Raw genomic sequence first — 14,321 nt, 5'->3', positions numbered from 1 at the left:
TCCGCTGTTATCCTGAGACCTCAGGCATACATCAACTTTCAATACATAAAAGGAAAAGAAGAACAACTTATCCCACCAGCCTAGTATGTCGGATGTTTACATTTCTGCATGCCCACCATTACCTCTCCAACTATTTATGTATACATATTCCTAGACATAGATTTTTAACAAATGTATGATCATAATACTTTCATAATACTTTTTTTTTTTTTTTTGAGACAGTCTCCCTCTGTCGCCCAGGCTGGATGGAGTGCAGTGGTGTGATCCCAGCTCACTGCAACCTCCGCCTCCCAGGTTCAAGCCATTCTCTCACCTCAGCCTCCTGAGTAGCTGGGACTACAGGCATGCGCCACCATGGCTGGCTAATTTTTGTGTTTTTAGTTGAAACAGCATTTCACCATGTTGGCCAGGCTTATCTCAAACTCTTGACCTCAAGTGATCTGCCCACTTTGGCCTCCCAAAGTGCCGGGATTACAGGCGTGAGCCACCATGCCCAGCCTATATATACTTTTGCATTTTCCTGCATAGTTATATTTATCATTTAAGTGACATGAATGCCAAGACTAAATGTGTCACTCAAGTTTGTTTCTTACAGTGTGGGCAGTGAGCTTAACTGGAGTCTTCAGCCAAGGCTTAGATCTGGGTGAAAAATTTCAAGACTTCTGTGGAAGTAGAGTATTTGGATTTATAAGATAAAAGACTTTCTAAAGGATAACATGAAATTCTTGTGATAAAAGTGTTCTGTATCAACTGTGGTTGTGATTACCCAACTTTGCACATAGAGTAAAATTGCACTGAACTAATTAGATAGGCACACACAAATGAATGCATGCAGACCTGGTGAAATCTGAAAATCGGTGAATCATTACCAGTATCAGTAGGCTGGTTATGAAGTTCTAGTATAGCTATGCAAGATGTTACAGCCAGGCACGGTGGCTCACACTTGTAATCCCAACACTTTGGGAGGCTGAGGTGGGTGGATCACCTGAGGTCAGGAGTTCAAGACCAGCCTGGCCAACATGTTGAAACCCCGTCTCTACTAAAAATACAAAAAATAGCCAGGCATGGTGGCGGGCACCTGTAATCTCAGCTACTCAAGGAGAATCACTTGAACCCAGGAGGCGGAGGTTGCAGTGAGCCTGAAAGAGTATGTGGGATCTCTCTGTATTGTTTTTTAACAACTACACATGAGTCTACAATTATCTTTAAAAGTTTAATTAGATCTTTTAAAAAGAAACAATTTCTGGTTGGGTGTGGTGGCTCACGCCTGTAATCCCAGCACTTTGGGAGGCCGAGGCAGGTGGATCACTTGAGGTCAGAAGTTCGAGACCATCCTGGCTACCATGGTGAAACCCTGTCTCTACTGAAAATGCGAAAATTAGCCAGGCATGGGTCATGCCTGTAGTCCTACCTACTTGGGAGGCTGAGGCACAAAAATTGCTTGAACCCGGGAGGTGAAGGCTGCAGTGAGTCGAGATTGCCCCACTGCACTCCAGCCCGGGCATCAGAGTGAGACACTGTCTCAGAAAAACAGGGACTGGGTGCAGTAGCTCACGCCTGTAAACCCAGCACTTTGGGAGGCCAAGGTGAGTGGATCACGAGGTAAGGAGATTGAGATAATCCTGGCTAACACAGTGAAACCCCGTCTCTACTAAAAATACAAAAAATTAGCTGGGCATGGTGCCAGGCGCCTATAGTCCCAGCTACTCGGGAGGCTGAGGCAGGAGAATGGCGTGAACCTGGGAGGTGGAGCTTGCAGTGAGCTGAGATCATGCCACTGCACTCCAGCCTGGGCAACAGAACAAGACTCCATCTCAAAATAATAGTAATATTAAGGCCGGGCACAGTGGCTCACGCCTGTAATCCCAGCACTTTGGGAGGCTGAGGTGGGTGGATCGCTTGAGGTCAGGAGTTCGAGACCACTCTGGCCAACGTGGGGAAATCCCATTTCTACTAAAAATGCAAAAAATTAGCCGAGTGTGATGGCGCATGCCTGTAATCCCAGCTACTCGGGAGGCTGAGGTGGGAGAATTGCTTGAACCTGGGAGGTGGAGGTTTCATTAAGCCGAGATTGTGCCACTGCACTCCAGCCTAGGTGACAGAGAGAGACTCTGTCTCAAAAAAAATAAAAAATAAAAATAAACAATCTCTTAGAAAGTAGCTTTGAAATCCTTGTGAGATGCTCAGTAATACATTATACATAGTTCATTTTCCTCCTTTTGAAGAATGCCCCTCCCTCAAAAAAAAAAAAAGAATAAAAAGAGAAAAACTAAAGGAAGAAAATGCCGAAGGAAAAATGGGATTACCAGTTTATTCCTAAGTAGTTAGTACCTTGGTACTCATCTTTGATGTCTTCAGGAAGCCATTTGCCAGGAGCCCCTCATGTAGTACAGAAAAGATAGTGGGGAACACATCAGCCAGAGAAAAGGGAAATTGACCTCTTGAAGGGTGAATTGCCTCTAAGTGGTTCAGAATTGCTGTTGTCATCTAGGAGGTTAATAGCAGACTTTTCATTAGTGTCATTTCTCTCTCTGATCCACCCACCTCAGCCTCCCAAAGTGTTGGGATTAAAGGTGTGAGCCACCGTGCCTGGCTGTAACATCTTGCATAGCTATACTAGAACTTCATAACCAGCCTACTGATACTGATAATGATTCACCGATGACTTACTTCTGACCAGTAGCTTTCAACTTTTTTTTTTTTAACTACAACCTTTAGTAAGAAATAACTTTTACATCAAAACCCCAAATGAATAATTGCGTGTGTTTGTGTGTTCACATATATATGTAACTGAAACAAAACTTTCACAAAACAGTGCTCACCCTTGTATGTGGTGCATGCTGACATTTTCTATTCTACTTAATTTTTAAAAATACTAGTTATGGCTCGGTAATTTAAGTTCTTAATTCTCAACCTGCAGTTTGGGAAACACTACCTCAGCCTACTAAGTGAAGTAGTCTAAACTTTTTGGCATGACGTTCAAGGCCTTCCTCATCCGGCTCCGTTTGCCTTCCCAGCTGTGGCTCCTACTCCACCTCCATAGCTAAGTGGCATGTTCAGCATCTCCTGAACCAGCCTCACACTTCCCTCCTCTGTGCCTTGACACTTCCTGATCCCTTTCCCCAGGGCTCCTTCTCTTTTGTTCATGTTCTCACCTCTTGGCTCCTGTAGTCTACAGTCTGTGGTAGCATTAATATGGAGTGTCTGTCCCTCTTCAGAGTTGTCCATGAGATCAGGCATGTGTCCTAGTCACCCTAAGTTCACATGTTTACTCCTGTGAATTTTCCCCTGAGTTGACCAATGTTTTGGTCAAAACTTTTGACCAACGTTTTTTTAAAAAAATTTTTTTTATCAAGTCACAATAAGAAATGCATTTTATATTAGATGATATACATGCATTTGTTAAATATATTTGTACAAAACTGAAACAATTTCATGACATATCCATACTATTTGCACCTTCATATTTTGTATTCTCTTCTAATTATTTCTTTTCTTTAACCCATTACTTGATTCCAAAAACCACAAATTGAAAAACATTGATCTAGGTTATCTTTCCTTACTGTGTCATCCGCAGAATGCTCTGTTACCTTTATATTATGTATATAAATTTTTTTTTTTTTTGAGACGGAGTTTCGCTCTTGTTGCCCAGGCTGGAGTGCAGTGGCACGGTGTCGGCCAAGTGCAACCTCCACCTCCCGGGTTCAAGTGATTGTGATTCTCCTGCCTCAGCCTCCCGAGTAGCTGGGATTACAGGCGCCCGCCACCATGCCTGGCTAATTTTTGTATTTTTAGTGGAGATGGGGTTTCACCATATTGGCCAGGCTGGTCTTGAACTCTTGACCTCAGATGATCCGCCTGTCTGGCCTCCCAGAGTGCTGGAATTACAGGCATGAGCCACCACGCCTGGCCTTTTTTTTTTTTTTTTTTTTCAGATGGGGTCTCACTCTGTTACCCAGGCTGGAGTGCAATGGTGCGAACTTAGCTCACTGCAACCTCCACCTCCCGGGTTCAAGCATATATTCTATTATATAATCACTGTTAGAAAGAAGTCTTTATTGTCTCATGACTCACAGAGAAGGCCGTTCATTTCATTTCTTATTTTTCCCACAAGAAGATTTGTAGAGAATGTTTATTGCAGCATTTTTTTCATAGTAAAAAATTTTAAACAACATAAGTAATAGGGCAGTGGAGAAACTGTTTTAGTCATACAATTAAATATGAGGAAGTTAAAATGAATACACCAAATGTAAACATTTCAATATGGAAAACCTTAATATAATGCTTAATGGAAAAGCAAGTTGCAAGATGATACACATAATATATTATCATTAAGGTATATTAAAATACATGACTACTATATGTAGTTTATATATATATATGCATACCTATACTGATTTGAATGACAGACAACATTAGATAAAGCTTACCTTAGCCGGGCAAGGTGGCTCACACCTGTAATCTCAGCACTTTGGGAGGCCAAGGTGGGTGGATTGCCTGAGCCCAGGAGTTTGAGAAGAGCCTGGGCAACATGGTGAAACCCCATCTCTACCCAAAAAACCCCCAAAAATTAGCCGGATGTGGTGGTGCGCGCCTGTAGTCCCAGATACTCGGGAGGCAGAGGTAGGAGAATACCCATCACCAGAGCCCTGGAAGTTGAGGTTGCAGTGAGCCGAGATTGCACCACTGCTTTCCAACCTGGGCATGGGAGTGAGAGCCTGTTTCCCCCCCCCAAAAAAAATAAGAAAAAAAAAGAGCTTACCCCTTGGCAAAAAGAGAGAGGAAATAGGATAGGTGCTGGGTTTTGTTTTTATCTTTTAAATATTGCTTTTAACACTGAAATCAGAAGCAAACATAGCAAAATGTTAACATTTGCTAAATCTAGGTGGTAGGTACAAGAGTGTCTACTATTTTATATTCTTTTTTTTTTCTTATAAACTGTATTGCCATCTTACAATGCCATTATTATCTGTCTCCAAGCTACTTCTCTGAAAGCAGGGCACATTAGCCACAATCTGAGGTTTTAGATTAAGTTATACTCAAGCCTTGTCTTTCTTGTACTTAGATGCCACATCTGGAGAAAGTGGCTATGCTTTGTAAGTACTGGACAGTGTTTGCAGTGAGTTCAAGTTACATGGCCATTTCCTCAGCAGGACTAGGGAGGCCGTCTTTCTGGGCTAGGCTGTTTGCATTTTCATATGTTGAGCCATTATTTTTTTTCTGTTAAGGCAGAAGGCATCTGACCTTAAAAGTCCAGGGTATTGGAACAAGATAGATGATGAGATTATACCTATTAAAGACTTTGATAGCAACCAGGTTCTTACGGAATCCTACTGTTTGGACATCACTGTTTCCCACAGAAACATATCATTTGTAAGATATTTTTAAAAAAGATCTGCCATTCTCCTGTGACAACACACTCATTCGTTTCAATTTGCATATTTCAATTTGATCTTCAGTCCTGAGTTGTTTTCAATCACTTTTTCCCCCAATCATTCTTTATTATTATTAATTATTTAATTTTTTTTTTTGTAGAGACTGGGTCTCGCTATGTTGCCCAGGCTAGCCTTGAACTTCTGACCTCAAGCAATCCCCCTGCCTTGGCCTCCCAAAGTGCTGGAATTTATAGGTGTACACAACCCCACCCAGCCATTTCTTTTTTTTTTTTTTTTGAGACAGTCCCACTCTGTCACCCAGACTGGAGTGCAGTGGCGCTATCTTGGCTCACTGCAACCTCCGTCTCCAGGGTTCCAGCAGTTCTCCTGCTTCACTCTCCCAAGTAGCTGGGATTACAGGCACCTGCCACCACACCCGGGTAATTTTTTGTATTTTTAGTAGAGACGGGATTTCGCCATGTTAGCCAGACTGGTCTCGAACTCCTGACCTCAAGTGATCTGCCCGCCTCAGCCACCCAAAGTGCTGGGATTACAGGCATGACCAATCACGCCTCGTTTCACCCAGCCATTTCTTTGTTATTATTATTATTAATACACCTTATAATTTAGAGCAGTTTAGATTTACCTAAAAATTGAGTATTATTAATGCTATTAACATCTTAGTGCGGTACATTTCTTATAACTAATGAGCCAATATTGATTAATTATTATTAAGTTTATAATTTAAGGTTCATTCTTTGTGCTGTATAATTCTTTGTGTTTTGTTTTTGTTCTGTTTTGTTTTGAGACAGGGTCTCACTCTGTTGTCCAGGCTGGAGTGCAGTGGCGTGATCTCGGCTTACTGCAGCCTCTGCCTCCTGGGCTCAAGTGATTCTCCTGCCTCAGCCTTCAGAGTAGCTGGGATTACAGGCATGCGCAACCATGCCCAGCTAATTTTTGTATTTTTAGTAGCATCGGGTTTTCACCATGTTGGCAAGGCTGGTCTCGAACTCCTGGCCTCAACTGATCCTCACGCCTTGGCCTCCCAAAGTGCTGGGATTACAGATGTGAACCACCACGCCCAGTTTTTTTTTTTTTTTTTTTTTTGAGACAGTGTCTCACTCTATTGCCCAGGCTGGAGTGCAGTGGCTCGATCTCGGCTCAGTGCAACCTCTGCTTCCCAGGTTCAAGCGATTCTCCTGCCTCAGCCTCCCCAGTAGCTGGGATTACAGGTGCCCGCCACCTTGCCCGGCTAATTTTTTATCTTTAATAGAGATGGGGTTTCATCATGTTGACCAGGCTGATCTCGAACTCCTGACCTCAAGTGCTTTGCCCGCCTTTGCCTCCCAAAGTGCTGGGATTATAGGCGTGAGCCACCACGCCCAGCCTGTGTTGTATAATTCTATAGGTTTTGAATTACAGGTTTTGAATATATAGGTTTTGAAATGTATAATGTCATGTATCTACCATTACAGTGTAATACAGAATAGTTTCACTGCCATTTCATTTTTATCTCTATACTCCAGTGCCTAGCACAGGGCTTGCAAATGTTCCATGAATGTGCAATAATATCCCATCTAAAATTAAATATGAGCAAAATAAATTCAGTAGTACAGTACATTTAAAGAACAATATGCTACAACCAAATAGAATCTCTCCTGGGAATAAAAAGGATGGTTTAAAATTAGAAAAAAGTGTTAATGTATCCCATTAGTCTGTCAGATAAGATAAATAATAAAAGACAATATATAGAGAAAAATCAGAATTCAGAGCATATTCCTGACTTCAAAAAATATGAAAATTAGAATGCTTTATTAACATAAAGATGATATTTCAATCTAACAATCAACATTATGTTCAAAGAGGCATTTTCTTTTTTTTTTTTTGAGATGGAGTCTCACTCTGTTGCCCAGGCTGGAATGCAGTGGCATGATCTCGGCTCACTGCAACCTCTGCTTCCTAGGTTCAAGCGATTCTTCTGCTTCAGCCTCCCGAGTAACTGGGGCTACAGGCTCACGCCACCATGCCTGGATAATTTTTGTATTTTCATAGAGATAGGGTTTCACCATATTGCCCAGGCTGGTCTTGAACTCCTGACCTTATGATCTGCCCGCCTCGGCCTCCCAAAGTGCTGGGATTACAGGTGTGAGCCACTGCGCCTGGCCCAAAGAGGCATTTTCTAATGGGCACAAACGAGGATGGCAACTGTCTTACTGTTTTGTGTAATTCCGGAAGTTCTGGCTAATGCAGTAAATGAGAGACAGAAATAAGAGTTACCATTTTGAGAAAGGAATTCTCATTATTGAGATAATAGGATTGTAAAAAAAAAAAAAGCAAAAACAACTGAAAATGTGTTAAAATCAATAAGAGTTCAATAAGACAGCTGAACATATAGTAAAGATACCAAAGTGAAAAGCTTTCCTATATAGGAATGACCAGTTAGAAAAATTAATGGGTTAAGAAGAACCTTTCATAAATAGCAACCTTAACTAGAAACATGTAGGACCCCTTGAGTAAAAAAGTGAAAATTGTACTAAAGGAAAAAATAATGACAAAAATCTACTTAAGATTTTGATCTTAAGGTAGTAGTAAAAAGTTGCAAACAAGTTGGGTTTGGTGACCCATACCTGTAGTTCCAGGACTTGGGGCACTCAGGCAGGAGGATTGCTTGAGCTCACGAATTTGAGGCTGTGGTGCACTGTAATGGCACCTGTGAATAGCCACTACACTCCAGCCTGGGCAACATAGTGAGACCCTGTCTTTAAAAAAAAAAAAAAAAAAGGCATAAACAACCTAAATGTCTCCCAAAAGGAGAATTATTTATGCCCCCCACCCTCTTTGTTTGTTTATTTATTTATTTATTTATTTATTTATTTATTTATTTATTTTTGGAGACAGGGTCTCACTCTGTCACCCAGTCTGGATGGAGTACAGTGGTGTGATCATAGCTCACTGTAGCCTCAAACTCCTGGGGTCAAGCCATACTCCTGAGTAGCTGGGACTACGGACACATGCCACCATGCCCAGCTAATATTTTTAAAATTTTTTGTAGAGATGGCATCTCACTTTGTTGCCCAGGCTGGTCTCAAATTTCTGGCCTCAAGCAATCCTCCTGCCTTGGTCTCCCAGAGTACTGGGATCACAGGCGTGAGCCCCTATGCCCAGCATATTTATACCCCACTTTGTTCCAAAATTATTTTAAGCTACCTTACATATTATGCTCTATTATATAAAAATAAATAATTCAGGTAGGGAGAAATTTGAGGGATGGGCCACAGATTTTATTCGGAGCTTTCTAACAGCCAGAGTCAAGAAGGAATGTGATCCATATTCATACCATAAAATATTGAATTGCTTGCGATAAACAACTCTTCTAGTACTGAGACCAAAGAGAAAATTTTCTTATGGGTCTCCAAGAGAGGATACCATATAGAACAGACAATGATCATTTTGTCCACTAAACAAAACAGTAACTGACTTTAAAGAGCTGTTTCTTATTGAAGTTCCTTGTCACACAGTGCCAATGAGTAGCTTGGTGAAGAGTATTTGCAGGGGGTGGTGAGGGTGGTGATGGTTGTGGCTGGGATGAACATGAGGATAGGCCGGTGCACTGGTCTGAGGGTCAGCTCAATGGAGTGGTATATTTTAGAGATTAAAATTATGGTTATCACCTGATATGTCCTGCTACTCTGGTGTCCTATGAATCGTCACAAGTCGGCCACTGAATTTTTATCAATGTGTTACATTTATTTTTGCAACTGGTGAGGATCAAAACTGCTAAGAAATCTGTCAGATAGTGGTGTGGGATAAGATCTGCAGCAGCCACGAGGAGTGCCAGACAAGAGGCAAGAGAAGCTACTTGGACCAGCACCAAGGAGCATGTAACGGGGCTGGACTGAACACTCTTCTGTAAATGTTCCCTCAACTTATATTTTGATGAGTGCTGTGGAGAGCAGGTAGTCTGTGTCTGGTCAGGGTTAGGTCCATATGCTTTTGTAGTTGACTGGGGTAGTTGACAGCCCCTGACGCGGGTGGAGAAGCCTCATGAGCTGAGATGCTTGAACAGAAGGCTGACTCGCTTCCACACAGAGGTGGGAAGAAGTAGCTAAGGGTATACCAAGATTTTCCTTAATTTCAGGTCTGATCTAACACATATTGGAAAGGGCAGTCAAGGTTTCCACATTTCTATATCATAGAGCATAATAACCACATTTAAGTCTAGAAGAACTCTTATTTTATTTTACTTTATTTTTTGAGACAGGGTCTCACTGTCACTCAGGCTGGAGTACAATAGCACAGTCATAGCTCACTGTAACCTTGCACTCCTGGCTTCAAGTGATCCTCTTGCCTCCGCCTCCCAAGTAGCTGGGACTAGAGGTGTGTGCTACCACACCTAACTAATCTTTTTATTTTTTTGTAGAGACGGGGTCTTGCTGTGTTGCCCGGGCTGATCTCGAACTCCTGGGCTCAAGTGATCCTCTCACCTTAACCTCCTAAAGTGTTCGGATTATAGGTGTGAGCCACTCCGCCCGGCTTTGTTTTTTCTTGGCTTTCTGTCAGGGCCAAGAGGGGAAGAGGGAACTGCCTGGAGCAGTGAAAAGAAAACCCTCTCAAGTCCCAGGGCCCCAACCTCAGCCATCTGCCTGGGGCCAGCACCGTTCTGCATATGTCTGTCTCTAGTGTCATCATCTATGTCAGTAGCATATTGTCTGCTTTCCTTTGGCATCCTAGGCTTGCTTTTCCAAGGAGGAATGTTTTATTTCATTGGCTTGGCTATATATTTATTTTAATGGTTCTATATTCAATTAAAGTGAATGGCTTAATTTTACATTTAAAACAAACCGACAGGAAGCTACTATGCTAGTTGGGCAGGGAAGCTGGGGGAAATGCTGCTCTAAATGAGTTCTGGTGTCCTGGCCAAAAAGAGGTAACTATAGGGCTTCTGAGGATATTTGTAGACACAATGCATCAGATACTTCATTTGTTTTTACTTATCGTGGAGAACACGAAAGGTATCAGAAGCCTGGAGACATTGTTAATATAATCTTTCAGAAAAGGAATTGTAGAAACTTTAGTCCATGTGGATGCCAGGCCAGATTCTAAAATTCTCTGGCAAAGCAAAGGTGTATGTGCCTCAAAGTGGGAAGCACTAGGAGTTTCAACACAGGCTCACAAAGAACAGGAGGCTTTAGGCCAGGGGCTTTCTACCCCATGAGATTCATGTTTCTTCTATCATGATGAACTTAAAGCCAAATAGTATAACCTACTTATGTACACACGCTAATGTGTGTAGGTCCACACACACATACACACCCTCCCCCCACCAACACACAGAATGCCCTAACAGTACTTTAAAGGAAAAAATTTTAGGTATGATAATAAAATTTATTCTCGTGTATAAATGTTTGGGTGTGACCATACTAGAAGGCATAAAGAAGTATTCAGAAGCTTTTACCATCACGCAGGAGCGCATGTGGAATGCAGACTGCTACAAATGCAGACTGACCGAGGTGGAGAGCTTTGCTCTCGGTGATGTGATTTTCAGAAATGGTGGGCATCTCTTGGTAAAGGTCTGAACAAAACAATATATGACCTTCCTCTGGCTTACATGGAAGTTCCCCTCCTAGAAAATTTAGCATATATGAAAACCATGTTTAAAAATACTTTGTGTTAATATGTAAAACTGAGTTAGGGGCTAAGCTGAGATAATAGACATTTACAAGGCCCATGACAGATCTTCACTGTGCAGCAACTATCCACTCAGATGTTGCAGGACGCTTAGTATGCCTGGCTCCTGCAAGTGGCTCCTACTGATTTTGACAGCAAAAGGGGCCCAGAGGGTGACCCTATCCCTGTCGGGCTAACAATTTTACATGGCCACGACTGTCAGGGAGAAAAGCATAAATGGCTGGCTGGCCTCACCAAGGAGTTGAGTTCCACTGGAGAGGTCTGCCACTGCGAGGGGTGTTTTCAGTGGCTTCCCTCCTTCTCCACAGAGTTACCAGAAGCCATTGGAATTGGCCATTAAAATGACTACTTGCATTAGATGTCCTTTTTTTTTTTTTTTTTTTTTTTTTTGAGACGGAGTTTTGCTCTTGTCGCCCAGGCTGGAGTGCAGTAGCGCAATCTCGGCTCACTGCAAACTCCACCTCCCGGGTTCAAGTGATTCTCCTGCCTTGGCCTCCCGAGTAGCTGGGATTACAGGTGCCTGCCACCATGCCCAACTGCTTTTTGTATTTTTAGTAGAGATGGAGTTTCACCATGTTGGCCAGGCTGCTCTTGAACTCCTGACCTCAGGTGATCTGCCTGCCTCTGTCTCCCAAAGTGCTGGGATTACAGGTATGAGCCACCGTGCCAGGCCTAGATGTCATTTTAAGGTGCTTTCCAACCCTAATATTTTCTTTCTTTCTTTTCCTTCCTTTCTTCCCTCCCTCCCTCTCTCTCTTCCCTCCTTCTCTGTCTTCTCTCCCTCCCTCCCTTCCTCCTTCACTCCCTCCCTCCCTCTCTTTCTCTGTCTTTTTCTTTCTTTCTGTCCCTGCCCAACTTACTTCCTTCTGTCCTTCCTTTCTTTTTTTTTTCTTTTTCTTTTCTTTTTTTTTTTTTAGTATTTATTGATCATTCTTGGGTGTTTCTCGGAGAGGGGGATGTGGCAGGGTCATAGGATAATAGTGGAGAGAAGGTCAGCAGATAAACACGTGAACAAAGGTCTTTGGTTTTCCTAGGCAGAGGTCCCTGCGGCCTTCCGCAGTGTTTGTGTCCCTGGGTACTTGAGATTAGGGAGTGGTGATGACTCTTAACGAGCATGCTGCCTTCAAGCATCTGTTTGACAAAGCACATCTTGCACCGCCCTTAATCCATTTAACCCTGAGTTGACACAGCACATGATTCAGAGAGCACGGGGTTGGGGGTAAGGTTATAGATTAACAGCATCCCAAGGCAGAAGAATTTTTCTTAGTACAGAACAAAATGGAGTCTCCTATGTCTACTTTCTACACAGACACAGTAACAATCTGATCTCTCTTTCTTTTCCCCACATTTCCCTTTTCTTTTCGACAAAACCGCCATTGTCATCATGGCCCGTTCTTGATGTTCGCTGTCTCTTCGGAGCTATTGGGTACACCTGCAGAAAGGCTGTCACTTCACACTTGGAAGATTGCACAGCGGCCAGGCAGAGGCACTCCTCACTTCCCAGACGGGGCGGCTGGGCAGAGGCGCTCCTCACTTCCCAGACGGGGTGGCGGCCAGGCAGAGGCGCTCCTCACATCCCAAACGGGGCAGCCGGGCAGAGGCGCTCCTCACTTCCCAGACGGGGTGGCGGCTGGGCAGAGGCGCTCCTCACCTCCCAGACGGGGTGGCCGGGCAGAGGCGCTCCTCACCTCCCAGATGATGGGCGGCCAGGCAGAGGCACTCCTCACTTCCCAGACGGGGCGGCTGCCGGGCAGAGGCGCTCCTCACTTCTCAGACGGGGTGGCCGGGCAGAGGCACTCCTCACCTCCCAGACGATGGGCGGCCGGGCAGAGGCGCTCCTCACCTCCCAGACGATGGGCGGCCGGGCAGAGGTGCTCCTCACCTCCCAGACGATGGGTGGCCGGGCAGAGGCACTCCTCACTTCTCAGATGATGGGCGGCCGGGCAGAGGTACTCCTCACTTCTCAGACGGGGCGGCCGGGCAGAGGCGCTCCTCACTTCCCAGATGATGGGCGGCCGGGCAGAGGCGCTCCTCACCTCCCAGACGGGGCAGCTGGGCAGAGGCGCTCCTCACCTCCCAGACGGGGCAGCCGGGCAGAGGCGCTCCTCACTTCCCAGATGATGGGCGGCTGGGCAGAGGCGCTCCTCACCTCCCAGACGGGGCAGCCGGGCAGAGGCACTCCTCACTTCCCAGATGGGGTGGCTGCCAGGCAGAGGCACTCCTCACTTCTCAGATGGTGCAGCCGGGCAGTGGCGCTCCTCACTTCCCAGATGGGGTGGCTGCCAGGCAGAGGCGCTCCTCACCTCCAGACGGGGCGGCCGGGCAGAGGCACTCCCCACTTCCCAGATGGGGCGGCCAGGCAGAGATGCTCCTCACTTACCAGATGGGGTGGCTGCCAGGCAGAGGTGCTCCTCACTTCTCAGACGGGGCGGCCGGGCAGAGGCGCTCCTCAGTTCCCAGACGGGGTGGCCGGGCAGCAGCGCTCCTCGCTTCCCAGATGATGGGTGGCCAGGCAGAGGCACTCCTCACCTCCCAGACGGGGCGGCTGGGCAGAGGCGCTCCTCACTTCTCAGAAGGGGCAGCCAGGCAGAGGCGCTCCTCACTTCCTAGATGGGGCAGCCAGGCAGAGACGCTCCTCACATCCCAGACGGGGTGGCGGCTGGGCAGAGGCGCTCCTCACCTCCCAGACAGGGCGGCCGGGCAGAGACGCTCCTCACATCCCAGACAGGGTGGCGGCCGGGCAGAGGCACTCCTCACCTCCCAGACAGGGCGGCCGGGCAGAGGTGCTCCTCACATCCCAGATGGGGCAGCTGGGCAGAGGCTCTCCTCACATCCCAGACAATGGGTGGCCAGGCAGAGAGGCTCCTCACTTCCTAGATGGGGTGGCGGCCGGGCAGAGGCTGTAATCTTAGCACTTTGGGAGGTCAAGGCAGGCGGCTGGGAGGTGGAGGTTGTAGCGAGCCGAGATCACGCCACTGCACTCCAGCCTGGGCAACATTGAGCATTGAGTGAACGAGACTCCGTCTGCAATCCCAGCACCTCGGGAGGCCAAGGCGGGCAGATCACTCAAGGCAGGCACTCGGCAGGCCGAGGCAGGAGAATCACGGGAGCCCGAGGCAGGGAGGTTGCAGCGAGCTGAGATCACGGCAGTACAGTCCAGCCTCGGCAACAGAGGGAGACCGAAGAAAGGGGAGAGGGGAGAGGGGAGAGGCTTTTCTTTTTTCCTTTGAGACAGGGTCTCACTCTGTCACCTAGGCT

General features: G+C 45.7%; 1 protein-coding gene and 1 long non-coding RNA gene across 4 annotated transcripts in view; one reads left to right on the top strand and one right to left on the bottom strand.

Moving 5' to 3' along the window:
• Positions 1-14,321, bottom strand: part of UBOX5-AS1 (UBOX5 antisense RNA 1) — a 43,957-nt gene that overhangs the window by 12,378 nt on the left and 17,258 nt on the right. Inside the window, exon 6 of the long non-coding RNA NR_038395.1 lies at positions 2,332-2,487. This is a non-coding gene — a long non-coding RNA (UBOX5 antisense RNA 1). The remainder of the gene's footprint in view (positions 1-2,331; positions 2,488-14,321) is intronic.
• The window catches only part of UBOX5 (U-box domain containing 5), a 52,293-nt gene that overhangs the window by 21,376 nt on the left and 16,596 nt on the right, over positions 1-14,321 (top strand). The window lies entirely within an intron of this gene.

This window comes from Homo sapiens, chromosome 20 (genome assembly GCF_000001405.40).
Source record: "Homo sapiens chromosome 20, GRCh38.p14 Primary Assembly".
NCBI classification, from domain to species: Eukaryota; Metazoa; Chordata; class Mammalia; order Primates; family Hominidae; genus Homo; species Homo sapiens.
The sequence above is the reverse complement of the archived record's forward strand: the minus strand, read 5'-3'. Positions and strand labels throughout refer to the sequence as shown.